Source organism: Homo sapiens, chromosome 13 (genome assembly GCF_000001405.40).
Source record: "Homo sapiens chromosome 13, GRCh38.p14 Primary Assembly".
Classification (NCBI taxonomy): domain Eukaryota; kingdom Metazoa; phylum Chordata; class Mammalia; order Primates; family Hominidae; genus Homo; species Homo sapiens.
Genome location: NC_000013.11, coordinates 40,346,074 through 40,369,056, shown reverse-complemented (window position 1 = coordinate 40,369,056; position 22,983 = coordinate 40,346,074). Strand labels below are relative to the sequence as shown.

The 22,983-nt window shown below is 44.2% G+C and overlaps 1 long non-coding RNA gene across 2 annotated transcripts in view, besides 1 other annotated feature; it reads left to right on the top strand.

Annotated features, from left to right (window-relative positions):
* Positions 1-21,925, top strand: part of LINC00598 (long intergenic non-protein coding RNA 598) — a 133,873-nt gene extending 111,948 nt beyond the window's left edge. For both annotated transcript variants that reach the window (NR_024506.2, NR_024507.3), the window contains one exon: positions 18,755-21,925. This is a non-coding gene — a long non-coding RNA (long intergenic non-protein coding RNA 598, transcript variant TTL-B1). The remainder of the gene's footprint in view (positions 1-18,754) is intronic.
* Positions 16,180-16,679: an enhancer, noted in NCBI's record as "H3K4me1 hESC enhancer chr13:40926515-40927014 (GRCh37/hg19 assembly coordinates)". NCBI's record gives its function as "activates a minimal SCP1, AML or CMV promoter by ChIP-STARR-seq in naive H9 embryonic stem cells {active_cell/tissue: H9 hESC(naive)}" and the evidence as "EXISTENCE:reporter gene assay evidence [ECO:0000049][PMID:30033119]".
* Positions 21,926-22,983: the final 1,058 nt, after the last annotated feature.

Genomic DNA, 22,983 nt, shown 5'->3' with positions numbered 1-22,983 from the left:
AAAACGTAGTGGCAGGGTCCTGAAAATTTCTTGATTTTCACCCCCCACATTGCCCTGCTATATGCAAAGCTTATTTAAGACCAGAAAATTTCCAAAGAACTACTTAACTTTTTGCCATGGAAACTATTTGGTAGATCCAAAATGAGGTGTTTTTTTTTTTTTTTTTTTTTTTGTTTGTTTTTTTGTGCATGTGTACATCAAAGAGTATTATAACTCAGAGAAAAAGCATTTACCTGCTCTTGGGTTAGAGGAAATTAAAGGAATGAAAGAAAGCATGCACTGGGGTGTTAGTTATCACGCAGCAGCAAGAAGCCCTGGGTCGGTGTTTCTTCACTGTGAAAGCAAGTTTGAACCTTGAGCCCAGATTACACGATGAACCTTGGCTTCTGATCTTAATAACGAATTTCTCCTAAGTTAACTTTTCCTCCATTTATTCCTCTAGTACTAACATAGCACTTTAGAACACTCTGATTATAGCAGGAATTTCTCCAGGCATACAGGGAAATTTGAACTTCTTAGCATTTAATGAAAAGCTCAGGTTTAATTTAATCCCTGTGATTAAGCTGGTTTAATTAATTTCTCATAGCACTTAAAACTTTGTTAATTTACCTGACTCGTGATAAGTTTACTTCCAGGCAGTTTTTCTTTTCCTAACATCAAGCTTGCTAAGAATACTGAATTGAAGTCGTGAACTTAGGTCAAAAACAATCATGCTTTGCAGTGAGGGTTGCCAAATACTTCACAGGACATAATGATACTAAAAGAAAAAAGTTTGTTTATCTGAAATTCAAATTTAACTGGGTGTCCTGTATTTTGATTTGCTAAATGTAGCAACCCTATTTGAACTTTGTAATAGATGCCCTCCTGAAATTTTGTGTTTGGGTAAAGATTTTGCAAATAAAATCATAAATGTTTTAGGGAGCTGAATGTCTGTCCTTTGATAAACACATGCGTAACAAGTTCAGATTTTTATATATCTGGCTTGCTTTAGGTGCAGTATATCTGTGTTTTATAAATTCAGTTAAAAAAATGTTTACTTTAAATATCAACCATTGCTTACCCTCCCTTACCCAGCCACAAATTATAGAATTTCATAATTTGCAAACTTCACAGCACGGTTTAGAAGTATACCATTGTTCATTCATGTCTACATTTAGGTGCCTACATTTCATGACTTTTGAGCCTCTTTCAGTGAAAACGCTAGCCTGGTGTGAACTTTGTGGGATTTTTTTGGAGCTCTCTGAACCATTACCCCAAAAGACTTCTGCCTAGGACTTTGGTAACCACGGTAACAACACTTAATAAATGCTCACTGTATACAAAACCATGTGTATGCTCTCTGCATGCATTATTTCATTCCAACCCTGATGCTCCTATGCCCTAGGGTACTATTATTATCTTCATTTCACAGAGGAAACAAAAGGCCCAGTAACTTGCCTATGGTTTCACAACCAATAAACGAAAGTGCTAGGATTTAAACCCAGGTCTGATTCCAACATGCTTTTTAACTCTTACCCACATCAGCGAGTTCCCCACCCCCACATAGATAAGTTGGGGGCTTGTGGTGGGCCTTGTGGAGCATGGGAGGTGTAGAGACTCACTGAGAGAAGGGAGAACCAAGAGACGTCTACTGTAATCAACTGGCGAGGTTTGATTCTGCAGCTCATGTAGGATAGAGTGGGTTGTTTCCATTCTCTTAAGAGATGGGTTTGCAATAGAAAGCCCAGGATTGAAATTCACAAATTATTTACAAATGCTTTGAAATTACAGTGCCTATAACTTAACTTCTGTGTACATAAAAGTCACCTGGAGGACTTGCAAAAAGATGCTTGAACCTGTGCTTTGAGGTTCTGATTAAGATTCCAATTCAGGCTGGGCACGGTGGCTCATGCCTGTTAATTCCAGCGCTTTGGGAGGCCGAGGCGGGCGGATCACCTGAGTTTGGGAGTTCAAGACCAGCCTGGCCAACATGATGAAACCCCATCTTTACTAAAAATACAAAAATTAGCCGGTGTGGTGGTGGGTGCCTGTAATCCCAGCTACTCGGGAGGCTGAGGCAGAGGTTGCAGTGAGTTGAGTTTGTGCCACTGCACGCCAGCCTGGGTGACAGAGCGAGACTCCATCTCAAAAAAAAAAAAAGATTCTAATTCAGTGGTCCTAGGAGTCTGAAAATCAGACCTGCTGCTTCGTACTTTTCAGCTTTACTTCACTCAGTTGCATGTGTGCGCCAATGCAGACACACTTTGAGAAACCCTGCTAGAGACTGAGTTCTGGGAGAGCAGGAATGTGTCTTATGTATCTTTGTATCCTCAAACCTAGAACAGAGCTAGACACATGGTAAACAACCAGAAATTACTGATAGGGAATTACAATGAATGATCTTAACTAACTAACTTATTAATTAAGGGTTTCCGTTGACATTTCAGGCAGCTCGAGAATAACGAATTGTAATTCTAAACATGACTTACAGAGTTTTCTTCTGGGTTTTATAAGTGTAAGAGTTGACTTTGATCTCCTGGGTCTACATTTCAGGGGTGTGGGATGGGCTGCTGGTGGTGACGAGCACGTATTTATATTTGTGTACGGTGAAATCCTCCCTGTGCTTTTTCGGTGAAACCAGTGGGCACACTTCTTAGGATGTGAATATGCATCTCTGCATTGCTCCTTTGCACAGTTGACACTGGAGATTAGAGTTGAGCTGTAAGCTTGTAAAAAGCCTTTGAGGAAACCCTTAATGAGGAACTGATCCTTTTAAATTCAAGTCTAATTACTTTTACAGCAACATTTCTATTTTGGATGCTTTCAATGAATAAAGTCTCTTTTATGCCATTGATGTAATACTAGCCCCTCCATTGCAGCAGAAAAAACACCCAACACGTGGCCTGACTCATAGACCCCAATGAGGGAGCCGATAACTCTTTTCTGCTTGAGCAGTTCACTTGATTTTAAAGGCCACCAGGAGAGAAAAACTTGGATCCCACGTTGACAAGCCCTTGAAAAGATTTCTATCTTTTTTCTGCTATCCAGTCATTTGCTTCCTCTACTCTTGGGGGGTGACAAGCAACCTCGGGCCACAAGCCTTTGAGTGTAGTGTCCTATGGGTCCCAGGGAAATTGGAAGGGGTATTGCAGTCATTTTAGTCACATAGACACATGCCTTTTCAATATCCAATGTTTGATGGAAGCCATTTGGGGGCACTCTGGCAACTGGGTTTTCACAAATTGGATTTTGGGACATAACAGACAGTAAGGAGGTATTTTACAAATTGTCCCCACCATAGCATAAAAAGATTACTTTAAAAAGCATCTCAGGGCTGGGTGCGGTGGCTGACACCTGTAATCCCAGCACTTTGGGAAGCCGTGGCGGGCAGATCATGAGGTCAGGAGTTCGCAGACCAGCCCGGCCAGCCTGGTGAAACCCCGTCTCTACTGAAAATACAAAAGTTAGGCCAGGCGCGATGGCTCACACCTGTAATCTCAGCACTTTGGGAGGCCGAGGCGGGTGGATTGCCTGAGGTCAGGAGTTAGAGACCAGCCTGGCCAACATAGTGAAACCCCGTTTCTACTAAAAATACAAAAAATAAGCTGGGCATGGTGGCAGGTGCCTGTAATCCCAGCTACTGGGGAGGCTGAGGCAGAAGAATAGCTTGAACCCAGGAGGCGGAGGTTGCAGTGAGCTGAGATCATGCCATTGCACTCTAGCCTGGGCAACAAGAGCGAAACTCTGTCTAGAAAAAAAAAAAGAAATAAAATAAAAAAATCAGCCAGGCGTGTGGCGCATGCCTGTAATCCCAGCACTCCAGAGGCTGAGGCAGGAGAACTGCTTGAAAACCCAGGGGGCAGAGGTTGCAGTGAGCGGAGATTGGACTACTACACTCCACCCTGGGCGAGAGAGCAAGACTCTGTCTTGGGGCAGGGGGAAGTATCTCAGGTTGGTAGAGGAGAAATGAGGTCTGAATTTTTCTCACTAACCTCCACCACAACAGAGTTTTTTTTTTTTTTTTTAAATGCAGATAGCACTTTTTGACAAGAGAGAGGAAGGCAAAATGGGAAGAACACTAAATTAAGAGCCTTTCACTGATTTACCAAGCTCACCTGAGCTTCATCTTGAAAAAGCTTCTGTGACTGCAAAACCTTCTATAAATATAAGGTGTTAAAATTCTGGCATCCACTGCCTGAATAGTGGGTGAATGAATAGAAGGCTGAGCTGCATGTGGGCAGAGGTGACATGAATGAATTCTTTATGTTATGGGGAGAGGGTGTGCAGACCATCCTCCCACCAAGTCTCTGAGATAGACGAGAGGTGTTGCCCATGGCCATCAGGTGATGGTATTGGGTTCTGGAGAATATGTGGTCAGCACAGGCTCTGGGCTAAAACAGAGGTCAAAATAAAATAGATACCAGATCTGCCACTTGTGGCTACATGACTCTGAGCAAGTCACCTAATGACTCTGAATTCCCATTTTCTCATCTACAAGGGCCATCCGCAGGGTGCCTTGTGCTAAAAAGCACATCGTAGCTGCTCATGAAATCAGAGTTATTGTTAATTACAAGCAGGGATTCTTTAATGTCAGGCGTTGGCTTGAGGTTCTAGCTGCCACAAGTCTTTGTCCAGTAATTCGTGCAATTATTTAATTGCATGAGTTGGGTTCTTTTTGATGCCTCTTCGTTAGCTATTCTGTGCTGTAAACATGGTCCTCGTGGACACTAAGATCTTTTTCCCATTCTTACCATCAGGATAGTTCTTATCAATATTGGTGTACATTTATCATGATGGATAAAGAGAAATGAGAGAAAGGCCAACAAGAACATTAAAACCTTAGAAGTTATGGAAGTTATGGAATCTCTGACGCAGTCTGTGTGCTGGCATCAGACTACTCAGGTGCAGACGCTGACACCATTAATTACTTGCTGCATGACCTTGGGCAAGGTACATGACCTCTAAGCCGCAGCTTACTCATTTATAAAATGGTGATAATAATAATGTTTATAATGTTTATATAGTATAGGAGGTAGTCATAAATCATTATAAGAATTAAGGTAAAAATATATGCAAAGTGCTTAGCATAGTGCTTACTATGAGCTGCTATGAGAACAATGTAAAATAAGCTGGAGATAAAAGCTGAAAAGTGGCTTGGAGGCTATCTAAAGTATATTATGAAAATGTAGAATGTCATAGAAAATGAGATGAAGTTTCAGCAGGAAAGATTAGGTCATGATGAAGAATAACACGACTCTAGGGATGATTAAACACTTGGGTAGAATTTCATCCTGCTTCTGATTTCTTATAGATTTTTTCTTCTAGTTCTTAGCTTTTGTGGAGCTGCATATTAATAGAATAGCAACCAAAACAAAGCTTTAAAAAATACAGTTAGAGACATTTGTTCCAAATACAACTCATGGCAAATACAATTACAGTCATTAATACCATTATCATTGAATGTCAAAGTGCTCCTGCTGATTCCACAGGCAATGGCTGGGATTAGGATTGGGCATGAGATGACAACACCAAAGACAAAGCCCACCTCCTAGGTGCTTAGATACAGAGGTATAAACCGTAGTCCTTGCCTCAAGAAGAACCATCCATCTAAAACGGGACATCAAGTAGTCAGGGAAGATAGGAACACTGGCTGTGTATGTAGCGTTTGGCAGAGAGTGGACTGGGCTCCATGCATTTCTTGTTCATTTCTTGCTCAGTATCCCCAGGAAGTGCAGTTCAGAAGGTAAGTTAAATAACATCTCCCAGGCAGAGAGTTAAATCGTGGTTAGACAGTATTCAAATGCAGGTCCCTTTGACGCTGCAGGGTTTTCATGATGCCTTATGGCCATGCACACGTGGTATAGAATGCCTGGTGTTACCTTAGGTCAGAGATGATCAGTGAGGCCCAAATGAGAAGTGAAGGGGATCCGAGAGGGGTCTGTGTGGGTCTTTGAGGAAGAGCTGGGAGTTGAGTGGTGTTCTGAGAAGGGGTTATCCATCAGACTCTTTGCAGGCAAGAGACCTACTCAGGTTTACTTAATTAATTGGAAAGATGCTGGTGGCTCATGGAACTGAAGAAAACGCCGAGGAGGAGGAGGAGGGCTGGGGCAGAGTTTCTTAGTGAGTGGGAAATAAAGGAGCTAGAGCAGGAAGGTGGCCACCTTCCCTGTCGGCTACATTGTCCGCTTCCATAGTTTTTAGTTCTCAAATTTCCTAATTAAAAAAAGCCTCCTGACTTCTAGAGTTAAGAGAACAGAATCATTTCAGTGATTCACTCACGTTATCTTATGCCGGCCTCATCACTTCCTTTCCAGTCAAACTTCAGGGCTCCTGAGCTACCCACTGGGTAGTTGCAAACATGGAGTGTGAGTTTCTCTGGACTGGAATATGAAGCGAAGCCATAGGCAGCCAGACTGTGGGGCAGGGGTGGGGAGTGGTGAGTCAGAGGAAGACAGAACCCTTGGAGGTTAGGTTGGAGGCAGGAGGGAAGGTGGGGCTACTGACAGTCAAATCCATTGGGTTTGGGTGAAGAGGTCACCTGTAATCCTTTTTCGTTTGTTTTTTAGAGACAGGATCTCACTCTGTTGCCCAGGCTGGAGTGCGGTGGTGCCATCACACCTAACTATAGCTCAAATTCTTGGGCTCAAGCGATCCTCCTACCTCAGCCTCCCTAGAAGTTAGGACTACAGGGGCATACCACCACATTCAGCTAAATGTTTTTTTTGTTTTTTTTTTTGTTTTGTTTTTGCATTATTATTATTTTTTTTTAATTATACTTTAAGTTTTAGGGTACATGTGCACATTGTGCAGGTTAGTTACATATGTATACATGTGCCATGCTGGTGCACTGCACCCACTAACTCGTCATCTAGCATTAGGTATATCTCCTGATGCTATCCCTCCCCCCTCCCCCCACCCCACAACAGTCCCCAGAGTGTGATATTCCCCTTCCTGTGTCCATGTGATCTCATTGTTCAATTCCCACCTATGAGTGAGAATATGCGGTGTTTGGTTTTTTGTTCTTGCGATAGTTTACTGAGAATGATGATTTCCAATTTCATCCATGTCCCTACAGAGGACATGAACTCATCATTTTTTATGGCTGCATAGTATTCCATGGTGTATATGTGCCACATTTTCTTAATCCAGTCTATCATTGTTGGACATTTGGGTTGGTTCCAAGTCTTTGCTATTGTGAATAATGCCGCAATAAACATACGTGTGCATGTGTCTTTATAGCAGCATGATGTATAGTCCTTTGGGTATATACCCAGTAATGGGATGGCTGGGTCAAATGGTATTTCCAGTTCTAGATCCCTGAGGAATCGCCACACTGACTTCCACAATGGTTGAACTAGTTTACAGTCCCACCAACAGTGTAAAAGTGTTCCTATTTCTCCACATCCTCTCCAGCACCTGTTGTTTCCTGACTTTTTAATGATTGCCATTCTAACTGGTGTGAGATGGTATCTCATTGTGGTTTTGATTTGCATTTCTCTGATGGCCAGTGATGGTGAGCATTTTTTCATGTGTTTTTTGGCTGCATAAATGTCTTCTTTTGAGAAGTGTCTGTTCATGTCCTTCACCCACTTTTTGATGGGGTTGTTTGTTTTTTTCTTGTAAATTTGTTTGAGCTCATTGTAGATTCTGGATATTAGCCCTTTGTCAGATGAGTAGGTTGCGAAAATTTTCTCCCATTTTGTAGGTTGCCTATTCACTCTGATTGTAGTTTCTTTTGCTGTGCAGAAGCTCTTTAGTTTAATTAGATCCCATTTGTCAATTTTGTCTTTTGTTGCCATTGCTTCTGGTGTTTTAGACATGAAGTCCTTGCCCATGCCTATGTCCTGAATGGTAATGCCTAGGTTTTCTTCTAGGGTTTTTATGGTTTTAGGTCTAACGTTTAAGTCTTTAATCCATCTTGAATTGATTTTTGTATAAGGTGTAAGGAAGGGATCCAGTTTCAGCTTTCTACATATGGCTAGCCCGTTTTCCCAGCACCATTTATTAAATAGGGAATCCTTTCCCCATTGTTTGTTTTTCTCAGGTTTGTCAAAGATCAGATAATTGTAGATATGCGGCGTTATTTCTGAGGGCTCTGTTCTGTTCCATTGATCTATATCTCTGTTTTTGTACCAGTACCATGCTGTTTTGGTTACTGTAGCCTTGTAGTGTAGTTTGAAGTCAGGTAGTGTGATGCCTCCAGCTTTGTTCTTTTGGCTTAGGAATGACTTGGCGATGCGGGCTCTTTTTTGGTTCCATATGAACTTTAAAGTATTTTTTTCCAATTCTGTGAAGAAAGTCATTGGTAGCTTGATGGGGATGGCATTGAATCTGTAAATTACCTTGGGCAGTATGGCCATTTTCACGATTTTGATTCTTCCTACCCATGAGCATGGAATGTTCTTCCATTTGTTTGTATCCTCTTTTATTTCCTTGAGCAGTGGTTTGTAGTTCTCCTTGAAGAGGTCCTTCACATCCCTTGTAAGTTGGATTCCTAGGTATTTTATTCTCTTTGAAGCAATTGTGAATGGGAGTTCACTCATGATTTGGCTCTCTGTTTGTCTGTTGTTGGTGTATAAGAATGCTTGTGATTTTTGTACATTGATTTTGTATCCTGAGACTTTGCTGAAGTTGCTTATCAGCTTAAGGAGATTTTGGGCTGAGACAATGGGGTTTTCTAGATATACAATCATGTCGTCTGCAAACAGGGACAATTTGACTTCCTCTTTTCCTAATTGAATAGCCTTTATTTCCTTCTCCTGCCTGATTGCCCTGGCCAGAACTTCCAACACTATGTTGAATAGGAGTGGTGAGAGAGGGCATCCCTGTCTTGTGCCAGTTTTTAAAGGGAATGCTTCCAGTTTTTGCCCATTCAGTATGATATTGGCTGTGGGTTTGTCATAGATAGCTCTTATTATTTTGAAATACGTCCCATCAATACCTAATTTATTGAGAGTTTTTAGCATGAAGGGTTGTTGAATTTTGTCAAAGGCTTTTTCTGCATCTATTGAGATAATCATGTGGTTTTTGTCTTTGGCTCTGTTTATATGCTGGATTACATTTATTGATTTGCGTATATTGAACCAGCCTTGCATCCCAGGGATGAAGCCCACGTCATCATGGTGGATAAGCTTTTTGATGTGCTGCTGGATTCGGTTTGCCAGTATTTTATTGAGGATTTTTGCATCAATGTTCATCAAGGATATTGGTCTAAAATTCTCTTTTTTGGTTGTGTCTCTGCCTGGCTTTGGTATCAGAATGATGCTGGCCTCATAAAATGAGTTAGGGAGGATTCCCTCTTTTTCTATTGATTGGAATAGTTTCAGAAGGAATGGTACCAGTTCCTCCTTGTACCTCTGGTAGAATTCGGCTGTGAATCCATCTGGTCCTGGACTTTTTTTGGTTGGTAAGCTATTGATTATTGCCACAATTTCAGATCCTGTTATTGGTCTATTCAGAGATTCAACTTCTTCCTGGTTTAGTCTTGGGAGAGTGTATGTGTCCAGGAATTTATCCATTTCTTCTAGATTTTCTAGTTTATTTGCGTAGAGTTGTTTGTAGTATTCCCTGATGGTAGTTTGTATTTCTGTGGGATCGGTGGTGATATCCCCTTTATCATTTTTTATTGCATCTATTTGATTCTTCTCTCTTTTTTTCTTTATTAGTCTTGCTAGCGGTCTATCAATTTTGTTGATCCTTTCAAAAAACCAGCTCCTGGATTCATTAATTTTTTGAAGGGTTTTTTGTTTCTCTATTTCCTTCAGTTCTGCTCTGATTTTAGTTATTTCTTGCCTTCTGCTAGCTTTTGAATGTGTTTTCTCTTGCTTTTCTAGTTCTTTTAATTGTGATGTTAGGGTGTCAATTTTGGATCTTTCCTGCTTTCTCTTGTGGGCATTTAGTGCTATAAATTTCCCTCTACACACTGCTTTGAATGCATCCCAGAGATTCTGGTATGTTGTGTCTTTGTTCCCGTTGGTTTCAAAGAACATCTTTATTTCTGCCTTCATTTCGTTATGTACCCAGTAGTCATTCAGGAGCAGGTTGTTCAGTTTCCACGTAGTTGAGTGGTTTTGAGTGAGATTCTTAATCCTGAGTTCTAGTTTGATTGCACTGTGGTCTGAGAGATAGTTTGCTATAATTTCTGTTCTTTTACATTTGCTGAGGAGAGCTTTACTTCCAAGTATGTGGTCAATTTTGGAATAGGTGTGGTGTGGTGCTGAAAAAAATGTATATTCTGTTGATTTGGGGTGGAGAGTTCTGTAGATGTCTATTAGGTCTGCTTGGTGCAGAGCTGAGTTCAATTCCTGGGTATCCTTGTTGACTTTCTGTCTCGTTGATCTGTCTAATGTTGACAGTGGGGTGTTAAAGTCTCCCATTATGAATGTGTGGGAGTCTAAGTCTCTTTGTAGGTCACTCAGGACTTGCTTTATGAATCTTGGTGCTCCTGTATTGGGTGCATATATATTTAGGATAGTTAGCTCTTCTTGTTGAATTGATCCCTTTACCATTAAGTAATGGCCTTCTTTGTCTCTTTTGATCTTTGTTGGTTTAAAGTCTGTTTTATCAGAGACTAGGATTGCAACCCCTGCCTTTTTTTGTTTTCCATTGGCTTGGTAGATCTTCCTCCATCCTTTTATTTTGAGCCTATGTGTGTGTCTGCACGTGAGATGGGTTTCCTGAATACAGCACACTGATGGGTCTTGACTCTTTATCCAATTTGCCAGTCTGTGTCTTTTAATTGGAGCATTTAGTCCATTTACATTTAAAGTTAATATTGTTATGTGTGAATTTGATCCTGTCATTATGATGTTAGCTGGTGATTTTGCTCGTTAGTTGATGCAGTTTCTTCCTAGTCTCGATGGTCTTTACATTTTGGCATGATTTTGCAGCGGCTGGTACCGGTTGTTCCTTTCCATGTTTAGTGCTTCCTTCAGGAGCTCTTGTAAGGCAGGCCTGGTGGTGACAAAATCTCTCAGCATTTGCTTGTCTGTAAAGTATTTTATTTCTCCTTCACTTATGAAGCTTAGTTTGGCTGCATATGAAATTCTGCGTTGAAAATTCTTTTCTTTAAGAATGTTGAATATTGGCCCCCACTCTCTTCTGGCTTGTAGGGTTTCTGCCGAGAGATCCACTGTTAGTCTGATGGGCTTCCCTTTGAGGGTAACCCGACCTTTCTCTCTGGCTGCCCTTAACATTTTTTCCTTCATTTCAACTTTGGTGAATCTGACAATTATGTGTCTTGGAGTTGCTCTTCTCGAGGAGTATCTTTGTGGCGTTCTCTGTGTTTCCTGAATCTGAACGTTGGCCTGCCTTGCTAGATTGGGGAAGTTCTCCTGGATAATATCCTGCAGAGTGTCTTCCAACTTGGTTCCATTCTCTGCATCACTTTCAGGTACACCAATCAGACGTAGATTTGGTCTTTTCACATAGTCCCATATTTCTTGGAGGCTTTGCTCATTTCTTTTTATTCTTTTTTCTCTAAACTTCCCTTCTCGCTTCATTTCATTCATTTCATCTTCCATCGCTGTTACCCTTTCTTCCAGTTGATCGCATCGGCTCCTGAGGCTTCTGCATTCTTCACGTAGTTCTCGAGCCTTGGTTTTCAGCTCCATCAGCTCCTTTAAGCACTTCTCTGTATTGGTTATTCTAGTTATACATTCTTCTAAATTTTTTTCAAAGTTTTCAACTTCTTTGCCTTTGGTTTGAATGTCCTCCCGTAGCTCAGAGTAATTTGATCGTCTGAAGCCTTCTTCTCTCAGCTCGTCAAAGTCATTCTCCGTCCAGCTTTGTTCCGTTGCTGGTGAGGAACTGCGTTCCTTTGGAGGAGGAGAGGCGCTCTGCTTTTTAGAGTTTCCAGTTTTTCTGTTCTGTTTTTTCCCCATCTTTGTGGTTTTATCTACTTTTGGTCTTTGATGATGGTGATGTACAGATGGGTTTTTGGTGTGGATGTCCTTTCTGTTTGTTAGTTTTCCTTCTAACAGAGAGGACCCTCAGCTGCAGGTCTGTTGGAGTACCCTGCTGTGTGAGGTGTCAGTGTGCCCCTGCTGGGGGGTGCCTCCCAGTTAGGCTGCTCGGGGGTCAGGGGTCAGGGACCCACTTGAGGAGGCAGTCTGCCCGTTCTCAGATCTCCAGCTGCGTGCTGGGAGACCCACTGCTCTCTTCAAAGCTGTCAGACAGGGACATTTAAGTCTGCAGAGGTTACTGCTGACTTTTTGTTTGTCTGTGCTCTGCCCCCAGAGGTGGAGCCTACAGAGGCAGGCAGGCCTCCTTGAGCTGTGGTGGGCTCCACCCAGTTCGAGCTTCCTGGCTGCTTTGTTTACCTAAGCAAGCCTGGGCAATGGTGGGCGCCCCTCCCCCAGCCTCACTGCCGCCCCGCAGCTCGATCTCAGACTGCTGTGCTAGCAACCAGCGAGACTCCGTGGGCGCAGGACCCTCCGAGCCAGGTGCGGGATACAATCTCGCGGTGCGCCGCTTTCCAAGCCCGTCGGAAAAGCGCAGTATTGGGGTGAGAGTGACCGGATTTTCCAGGTGCCGTCCATCACCCCTTTCTTTGACTCAGAAAGGGAACTCCCTGACCCCTTGCGCTTCCCAAGTGAGGCAATGCCTCGCCCTGCTTCGGGTCGTGCACGGTGCGTGCACCCACTGACCTGCGCCCACTGTCTGGCACTCCCTAGTGAGATGAACCCAGTACCTCAGATGGAAATGCAGAAATCACCCGTGTTCTGCGTCGCTCACGCTGGGAGCTGTAGACTGGAGCTGTTCCTATTCGGCTATCTTGGCTCCTCCCGTCTAAATGTTTAACATATATGTTTTTAGATAGGGTCTTGCTATGTTGCCCAGGCTGGTCTTGAGCTCCTGTCCTCCAGTAATCCCCTGCCTTGGCCTCCCAAAGTGTTGGGGTTGCAGCTGTGGGCCACCACACCTGCTGTGCCTGGCCTCTTCCACAATCTTGATGCCTTAGTCCACTTGTGTTGCTATAACAGAATACCACAGACTAACTTATAAAGAATGGAAATGTATTTTTCACAGTTCTGGAGGCTGGGAACTCCAAGATTAAGTCACTGGCATGTGGCGTGGGCCTTCTTACTGCATTCTCACGTGGCAGGAGGCAGAAGGGCAAGAGCGCATCTAGCTGAACTTTATGAAACTCCTTTCAAAAGGGCCTTAATTCCATTAACGAGGGAGCAGGCCTCATGGCCTGATCACCTCTTAAAGGCACCCTTCTTCATACTGTCACATTGGCAACAGCTGAATTTTGGAGGGGATTAAGTTTCAACGTGACTTTTGGAGGGGACAAAAGTATTCAAACCATAGCGCTTGAAAAGGAGCATTTTCTATGGAGGAAGAAGGGTGTTTGGGATACGTCCTTTGGGTTATTAATTACAGTCGGAGCTCTGAGCGCTGACCTTTCCTGTTCCTTGCTTCCTGCTGACTTGGGAGAATTGTAACTGGTTAGCCTGGCTCCTGGGACTGTGGAAGACACAGCTTCACCTGAGAGAGTGTGGGTGACTGGGCGGTGACTGATAACACCTTTGGTTTATCTGTTCCACTCCCTGCTGAGTGAGAATAAACCAGGTGCAAGTTGGAGGTGCTTCCCCAGTCTCAGGATGAGTAAAGAGTGGTGTTTAGGAGAACAGATTCCAAACCTTGTGTTTGAGCAGTAACAGGGCACCTGGGTTGGGCTTGCAGATATCTGTCTCAGGTGTGCTGTCTCTTCTAAGCCACAGCAGCAGGGGAAATGCTACGGAGGCTGTGTGGGGGGAAGGACGCCTCTGTGAGGAGACATGGTGTCTCCCTTCCATGGTGAGTGGCCTTACCTGTGGAGGCAGCTGACAGTGTGCCTCCAGAGGTTGGATCCTTTGATCTGCAGTCATACTGCTGGAACTGCCACCACTTATTCTGTTTGTAGGTTCTCAAACCTGAGCCTTCATTAGCATTGCCTGGAGGGTTTGTGAAAACACTGATTTCTGGGCCCTATCTCCAGACTCCCATGATTTAGTGGATCTGGAGTAGGGCCTGAGAACTTGCATTCTGACAAGCTCCCAAATGTTGTTGATGCTGATGGTCCATCTGTTGACAATATTTTGGGGGTCACTGCTGCAAATCTTGTTTTCTCAAGTGCCCACCACCCTGAAGTGTTCTCAGGTCAACAAGACGTGGAGCCTGGTGAACAAGTCAGAAGACAAAATCCTATTGAGGATCCTGATACGGTTTGGATCTGTGTACCCACCAAATCTCATGTTGACTTGTAATCCCTTATGTTAAAGGTGGGGCCTAGTGGGAGGTGATTGGATCATGGGGGTGGTTTTCTCATAAATGGTTTGGCACTATCCCTATGGTGCTGTTCTCATGATAGTGAGTTCTGGTTGTTTAAAAGTGGGTAGCACCTCCCCTGCCCACCCTTGCTTCTACTTTGGCTGTGGGAAGTGTGCGCTTCCCCTTTGCCTTCCACCATATTTGTAAGTTTCCTGTGGCCTCATCAGAAGCTGAGCAGATGTCAGCATCATGCTTGCTGTACAGCCTGCAGAACCGTGAGCCAATTAAGCCTCTTTTTTTTTTTTTTTTATAAATTACCCGGTCTCAGGTAGTTCTGTATAGCAATGTGAGAACAGCCTAATACAGATCTCAGAGTAAACTCACTGAGAGACTCCAGGGAAGTAGAGGACAAAAGGAAGATTTTAGGCTTGCAATTTGCACAGAGCAGAATGCATAACAATTGTTAGCTCTGGTATGCTATGGACAAGGTGACTTCTGTGTTGTATGTCACATGAAGAGTTTTCCCCCGGTTTCTGGGAAAGACGTTGCACTGAGAAAAGTATTGAAGAGAAATCTGTGCCTTTCATACCCACCTGCTACACTGACACAATAGACATCTTTTTAGAAAAGGATGAGGTATTTCTGTAGCGTCTATTAGGTGCAGAGCAATAAGGTAGGTACTTTGCAAACATCGCTTCTTGCAATTTTCAAAAATCTGCAAGGTCTGTATTGTTTTCATTCTATACATAATGAAACCAAGTCTCAGAAGCATTAAGAAATACACCCAGAATCACAAAGCTAGTAATTGGCAGAGGCAGGACTTAAAAATATGTATCATTCTTATCCCAAATCTGTGTTCTCTTGATTTACCATTGGAAATTCAATGTTTCGTTTATAAAAACATGCAATTTTAAAAATGAAATATTACTTCTTAGTTTAAAAGCAAGGTTATATGTTCAGGACCAAGAAGACATAGGCCTGAATATGTGGGAGTTATAGATAGAGGGATAAAGACCATAAAACATGCCAAATCAGGACATCAGAGATATTGATATTGATCTGATTGGCTATTATGGCTTCTTCCCTCCTCTGCGCACTCTGGTAGTTTTCTCAGGTAAGAGTTTAGAAAAACTAAAATAACATGCAGAGGGAAGACTTGGTGAATCTTATATGTAAAGTGCTTAGAACAGCACCCAGTGCAATATTGATGCCCAGTAAATGTTAGCTCTCGTCACCATCATCATCACCATCATCATCTTCACTTCCACCATCAGCTTCTGCAGGGAAGGTGAGGGTAGGAACCAGGTGGGCACCAGCAGCAGTGGGAGAGAATCACAAAGGAAAAAAGACATTGCAAAGAGCAGCCTGCAATGAAGTCATGGAAATTTTCTGAAAATTCTGGGTTGTGATTTAGAAGGCAAATATGACTTTTATCGATGGAGCTGTGTTGGAGGAATTTGCGGGGGTGGGAGTAGGAAAGTTGTAGACATCTGTAAGAGAGAAAAATGGATCAGTCACGGAGAAGTACTTGGGGAGCCCTTGTATTTCAGGAAGGGAAATACCAGCTAGGACGAGAATTTGAAATTTGGGTTCCTCTTGCTAAAATACAAACTACCTGGTCGGAAGACTCATCCAGTATCTGTCAGGGAGACTCTGGGTGGTGTATACTTGTTGCTGTACTTAAGGCAGTCCTTGGAAAAAAGCTTGGCAGGAACACTTGACAGAGATAAATCCACTGATGGAAAGTGCCAGGACAGAAGTGGATGTGGTTGCACACGTGGGGATGACTGGTGGAGGGGCAGGTGGGCTGTGAAGAGGGACCAGGCTGGGGCAGCTGTGGGCAGGCTGCCAGAAACTGATTTCCACACTGCATGAGGAAGGAATGCCAGGGGAGGGGCTGGACTACTTTTTGTAGGAGGCTAAAGGGAGACAAGGACCAGCACTGCCAACTGCCACACATCTGGGGAGATCAACAACTGGCCAGATGTTTTAGACACAACCTGTGTGGCCACCTGAGTATATGCCAGTTATCAAGACGGATGATAAACAATAGCCAACTAGGGCACTAGGCTGCGTCTTTCTGAACTCACGGGCTCTCTGTGCCACGCATGCTGATGTGTGGGACACGGAGAGATGCAAGTGACGCAATGCAAAGTGTGTGCTGTTTCCATAGCTAATTAGGAGCCTGGTGACAAAGCAGGAGCCTGGCAGAGAGGTGAGAGAGGGGGTCTGCGGGCAGCTGTTAGAGCCTGGCACTGGGTATTCTCTGCTGGGATTGATGGATTGAGGCTCCAGGGTGGAGCCATTCTAGAACGTCCTGTTCCTGTCAGATTTGCAGCAGCAGCGGGCTGGTGATGTGGCCTTCATTTAACTCTTTTGTAAGACTGGCCTTTCCAGCCTGTTTCAGCACACTAGGGCCGTGTGACAGAGAGTTCTTGGCACAATTCACAGAGGTCTCCGTACTTAACAGCCTCTCATTTTCCTACTAGTCCGAGAGAGTTTGTACTGTGAGTTTTTCAATCAGAAACAAGCAGCCCTGAGATCTGTGGCTGGCCACCAGTCCTTGGGGAAGAAGCTAGCTGCAGCCCAGCACCCTGTGCCCGCGGCAGGCAGGCTGGGGAGGATGCACATTTGTCCAGGAACAGCAGGTTTGAGGCCCTTTGGCCATCCCATTGGCCATCTCCAGTCTCAGCTGAGTAAACTCCCTTCGCCCCCATCCCAAAGTTTGAACTCAGTAACTGTTTTAATGTGAATCAACATAGGAGGAAAATAAAAAACAGCTTGCAAGTTTACACAAACAAAACTTCAGCTCACAGAAATCCAGACTAGCAGGTGCTTGGGTGGTGTACTGCAGGACACCCCAAATCACTCGCTCCTGGGTCCCTGACTGAGCATGCTTCTAGAGTCAGTGTTAGTGATGGAAGAAAGCAATAAGGGAGGGGAGAAGGTGTCTGGAATGTGAGACAGCACAGTGGAGGGTTGCTGAGGTGGAAGGAGAGAAGCAGGATGTGGGCCCCAATGGAGTAGGAAGGAGGCAGGGTCCTTGACCCCAGCAAGTGTAGGGATTGCTGATGACAAAAGAGGCCTGTGTCCTTCAGCCAGGCAGGCAGGGGAATGAGGCCTGGAGGTAGGGTAGAGGTGGCCAGGGGTTAGGACACGGAGGAGCCGTTTGGAAGTAGATTATTAACGGGATCCCAGAGCATCTGCAGGGGGAGATGGGGGGCAAGCCCAGGAAATAGAGGGCTCTAGAGTTGCCTGTACATTTAGAGGACTGATGAAATCTTGTTCGAATAAAACCACTGGGCCCCAATCTGAAGTTTCTTGCAGGATGATTAGAAAATATGGCTTAAGGGGACTTTGCCTTGAGAGGGTCCTTGATAGTTACTCTATTTTTTTTTTTTTTTTAATTCTCATTTTCTCAGGTGAGAAACTGCCTGCCAGCCAATCTGATATTGGCTGGTTCCTCCAGGTCCATATAGCATTCCCTTTTTGTATATTGAGAGCCATCTCATAAATACATTCCATGACTAGGATTATGCGTGTCCTGCTGTTTCTTTGCTTCTTGACATTCTCAGCAACTGCTCCTCTCTCTGCATTGGGCATTGTCTCCCCAAGCCCTTTAGCAGCAGCGAGACTGCAGGCCACCTTTTATGCTTATTAATTTTAGGCAAAGTTTTCAGGTTGGCCATCCTGGTGCACTGGGAGAGAAGTGAAGGATGGGAGATTTGTTAGACTCATCTGGCAAATTCCTTTTACGTTTTACATTCTCCGCAACTACGAGTTTGTTCAGAGCAAGTATTGAGCGTCAATTCCACGCAAGGTATTATTTTGGACTCTTGGGGTTATCCAGGTGAGTGCATCCCCGGAAGCCTCATTCCTCCTTCTCTGTGCAACTGGGTTTCCAGGAAGCATTCAGGGAGCTTAACATTCAGTCATGAACAATAAGGCATTTTTCTGAATAACCATGCTATAGAGCAGAATGCGATGAGTCCTCTAAGAGGTGTCTAGATTGAAATGCTTTGGGAGTTCAAAGGAGGAGAGATTTACCGTGCACGTCAGAATTGTATGGAAGCACAAGTTGTACTGAGAGAGGATAAATAACCTATTCACTTCATCGTAATACCATACATAAAATATTATTGACATGGCTGGCAACACTGTTAACACTGTTTGGGCATTGCGAAAAAGTCTGATATATAAATAACCATGGGTTCCTAGAATCACGGCATCTAGAATGTGAGCACGGCAAGCAAATTTGGAAGACATCCAGTTCAACCTCCTCATTTTGCAAATGTATAAACAGATGTCCAGATAGGTTAAGCCAATTGCTCAAGATCATAGAGCTAGTTTTGTGGCCAAGGCAGGGGCAGAAGCCAGCTCTTCTTACCCACTGTCCCCAAAGCTCATCTCACACTGGAGTTGTGACATCAGCACTATTCTGCCTCTGCTATACAACAGGCCCTGGAACATACTCGAACCATGTAGGTGATTTGTGTCCCTGTCTCATCTTTCTTACCAGAATACCATCGGAGCTCCTCTGGAACATGTCCTTGTCTTCTCAGAGTGTGAAGTGTGTGTGTGACAGTGCTTTTCTGAGGACTCAGGTGACCTGGAGGCTGGAGAACAGCATGGAGCAAGGAAAACAAAGACGATGTGCTGGAGTGTATGTTGCTTTCATAATTATGTGAAAGAAAATGTAGAGAAATTTGAAAGGTAAGATCTGACCGCTTTGACCCCTCTCCTCACACCAGCCTATGCCCCACTTTCTTGAAGACCCACTCCCCAGCTTAGCAGCCAGGTACCCATCACAGCCTGGCTTCAAGAAGGGAGCCCAGTCCGCCAGGTTTGTTCTCTCTCCTTCGGTCTGTCTCTGTTGGCCAGTCTGTCCAGGAGTCACTCTGTCCATGGGTCAGTCTCTCCTTCTTTCTGACTGTCTTCCTATCATTCTTTCTCAGTTGTTCCCTCTCACCTTAAGGGCTGCCTAATTTCTCTCTCATCATGTCTTTACTTCTCTCCTAGCCTCATTTCCAGCTTTGGCTTCCTCATAACTAAAGTGTGCTGTGGCCCCAACATGGCATCCTGACTTCTTTTCAGAGTCTGCCTCCAAGCTTCTGGCTGGTCTTGCCACATACTCCAATTCATATCCCTTCACATTACATCAAGCTGGCTCAGTCTGTCTCTTCTCCTCTGGCCAGACAATGGCAGATCACCTTGGTCAAGCATGTCCTCTGGACCAATTGCCCCAGACCAGGATTATTTAAATACAACTCGTCCATCTGCAGTTGTCCTTAAAATCTGATTTATAGAAGGTCTGTGTGGGCTTGGCATTTCTGGTGTCCACTCATTCTGTCTAGTGAATTGTCCTTCTTCCATGACGCCAGTGGTGATAGATCTCACCCTCCTCTGATCCCTGGGCCTGTTGGTTGTGGAGTTTATGGGCCACTTCTGCAACTTGATGGCCTTGGGCCATGGAAAGGCCTGTCACCCCTTTTCTGGCACTAGAATGGAAGCTTCAGTAGGGCAGGAACCCTATTTAGGCATTTCAGTTAGGCTTGGCACACTGTCTTGCATGGAGAAAGCTCAGAATAAGACAGAGATCCTAAAGTATCTTCAACAGAACTAATCTGACAAATTTCCAAGGCTCCTTTGGGAGATAAAATCTACTTGGGGGAATGGGAAAAGGATGTCTACATAGATTTAGAATAACGACCACCACCACCATCATCATCCTTGACAGAACCTTTATGCCAGGTGCTGTTCTAAAGCACTTTACATACTTTATCTCATTTAATCCTAACAACAGCCCTGTAAGATAACTGTTACTATGCCCTTTTTACCTTTAATGAAGAAACAGCCTCAGGGAGATTAAGAAATTCACCCAAGGTCACAGAGCTAGAAGGTGAAAGAGCTGGATTTCCAACCCAAGTGTGCCTGATGTCAACTCTGATCTAAGATGTGGACGCACATGGGCAGAATGATGACGTGCTCTTCCCAACCTCTCATTTAGCCAGCATGTGAGAGGGCAAGGTGTCTTCAGCAACCATTTCATTTGTAAACATACGTGTTTTTATCCTTGGTCTACGCAATAGTATTACCACACAGGTAATACCAGTGGGTGCTGGGTGTTTTTTTTTTTTTCCTCTTCTACATATTCCCTCCAAAATAAATTATTAATTGCCCCTCTTCTAAATCTTATGTCACAGTCTTTAATGCCTGCATCTGAATTGCTGTTAAAACATCTCTTGGAGTCGTTCCCTGTGATATTACAGTCCGGGTTCCTGCGGCGTAATCCCACTTGCTGGTTTTTCCCTTTGCATTGCATTTGGGTGATGAATGGCCCTTTGATGTTCCTGGCATCTGCCTTCCTGCCTCAGGAACTCACTGCTGGGTCCTCTTTTCCCTGCTAATGGCCCTGTTTGCCTTCCACGACAGTTGAGACTCAGAAACACTTGCACCCACGGCACCTTTGGACATTGCAGTTTGCCTCTGTTTCACTGCCCTTTCTTCTATTTTTCTTTACTCTGCCTCTTCTGTTCTTTGCTCTGGCCTGCTCCTGTTCCCTGGCAGCTCCAGCCATGCAGCAAACAGTCACCAGTCTTCACTTTATCCTCAGAACTGGTGACACAGCACCTACTCTCCTTATCTCTGTAGAGGCTTCCTCCAAAATTTCTATTACTTAACCCTTTCTCCTAGACTCCTCCTTGCCGCTCATCATGGCTGAGGCCCTGCTCAGATCTGTTTCCCTCAGTTCTTTGGGAAAGCAGCTGTCTGACATTGATGTGCATTTGTTTAGCCTTTTCTATGTGTCAAGCATAGGTTTGTATAGTCATAGAGGTGGATAACATAGTCTTAGGTGCTTTTCTTCTTTTTTTATAGACTGCGTCTTGCTCTGTCACCCAGACTGGACTGCAGTGGCACAATCACAGCTACCTGTAACCTCAAACTCCTGGGCTCATGCAATCCTCCCACCTCAGCCTCTGGAGTAGCTGGGACTACAGGTTTGTGCCACTAAGCCTGGATAATTTTTTAAATTTTTTGTAGAGATGGGGTTCTCGCTATGTTGCCCAGGCTTTTTTTTTTTTTTTTTTTTTTTGAGACAGAGTCTTGCTCTGTCACCCAGGCTGGAGTGCAATGGCACGATCTCAGCTCACTGCAACCTCCACCTCGTTGGTTCAAGCAATTCTACTGCCTCAGCCTCCTGAGTAGCTGGGACTACAGGCATGCAACACCATGCCCAGCTGATTTTTTTATATTTTTAGTAGAGAGGGGGTTTCACCATGTTGGTCAGGCTGGTCTCGAACTCCTGACCTCAAATGATCGCCTGCCTCAGCTTCCCAAAGTGCTGGGATTACAGGCTTAAGCCACCGTGCCTGGCCTGCCCAGGCTTTTTAAAAAATAGATTTTATTTTTTAAGTCTTTGGTCCACATAACCACAGCCTCCCCTACTATCAACATCCCACACCAGAGCAGTACATTTGACATATTCGACGCACCTAACTTGACACATCATTATCACTCAAAGTCCACAGCTTACTCTAGGGCTCGTTCTTGGCATTGTGCATTCTGTGGGTTTTGACAAATGTATAATGACATGCGTCCACCATTGTAGTATCATCAGGAGTGGTGTCATGGCCCTATACATCCTTCATGTCTTAGGGATTTTTAAAGCCTAGTAAAAGACATCGGAAAATAAACAAAAAAATCACAGTAAAGTCTTAATAATGTTGAAACAGGACATAAATAAAAACAGTCTGAGCATAAGGAGGAAATAGCTAACGCTCTTTAGTGGGATCCATGAGAGGTTTTGGGTCCAGTAAGACATTGGAAGTCCATGTTTGCAAAGGATCAGGGTATTATGAGGCATGTGAGGCTGAGGGGACAGCTGACCAGGGAACACAGGCACGAACACCCAGGCATGTTTAATGGACCTCAGAATGTGGTGTAACAGAGTTGGTTAAGAGCCAAAACTCTTCAATCAATCCCATAGACAGGAATTCAAATCTGACCCTGCAACATACTTCCTGTGTGATCTTGGCCAAGTTACTGGACTTCTTTGAGCCTCAGTGTCCTCATCTGTACAATGGGCATGATAATAGTACTTGCTTGTGGAGATGCTCTGAGATGCCTGAGAGGCATGTAATATTATCCCAGTGCCTGCCCTGTGGTTTGGGGACTTACATGTCAGTTCGTGGTGTAGACTGAGAAGCTGAAAATGGGACCCAAAGGCACATTGTAAAGCCCATGGAATTGTATTAAGGAGTTTGGACTCTATCCTCTTGCTCAGTGACTTTCAAATCTTGACAGTACATAAGAATCACCTGGGAGTTTGTTAAAACACAGATTTCTTAGTCTTTCCCTGGTATTTTTTGTTTCAGCTGGCCTGGGGTAGGGCTAAGGAATCTGTTTTTAGTGGTTCTGATGTAAGTGGTGCAGATCACACCTTAGACTAGATCATTGGGAGGGTATAAGTCTTCTTGTAATATCTGTGCAAAATAAATCAAGAGTTTACAGAGGCAGAGAGAGGTCTGAGGCTTTTTGACAGTCGGGCTGCAAATCGCTCCGTGGAGCTAGAGCCAAAACCCCAGGCAGGCTTCCTGGTTTCAAGCCTGTGCTCTTTCTCCTTTGTTCAAACACCATCCACACAGTGCCAAAGGAAGCCAAACCCAAGGCCCAGCCGCCGGGGTTAAAGGTCTGAACAGCTCGTGTGCCCTGACCAGTTCAGATCTCTTCCGGCCACTGCTTTCCTTC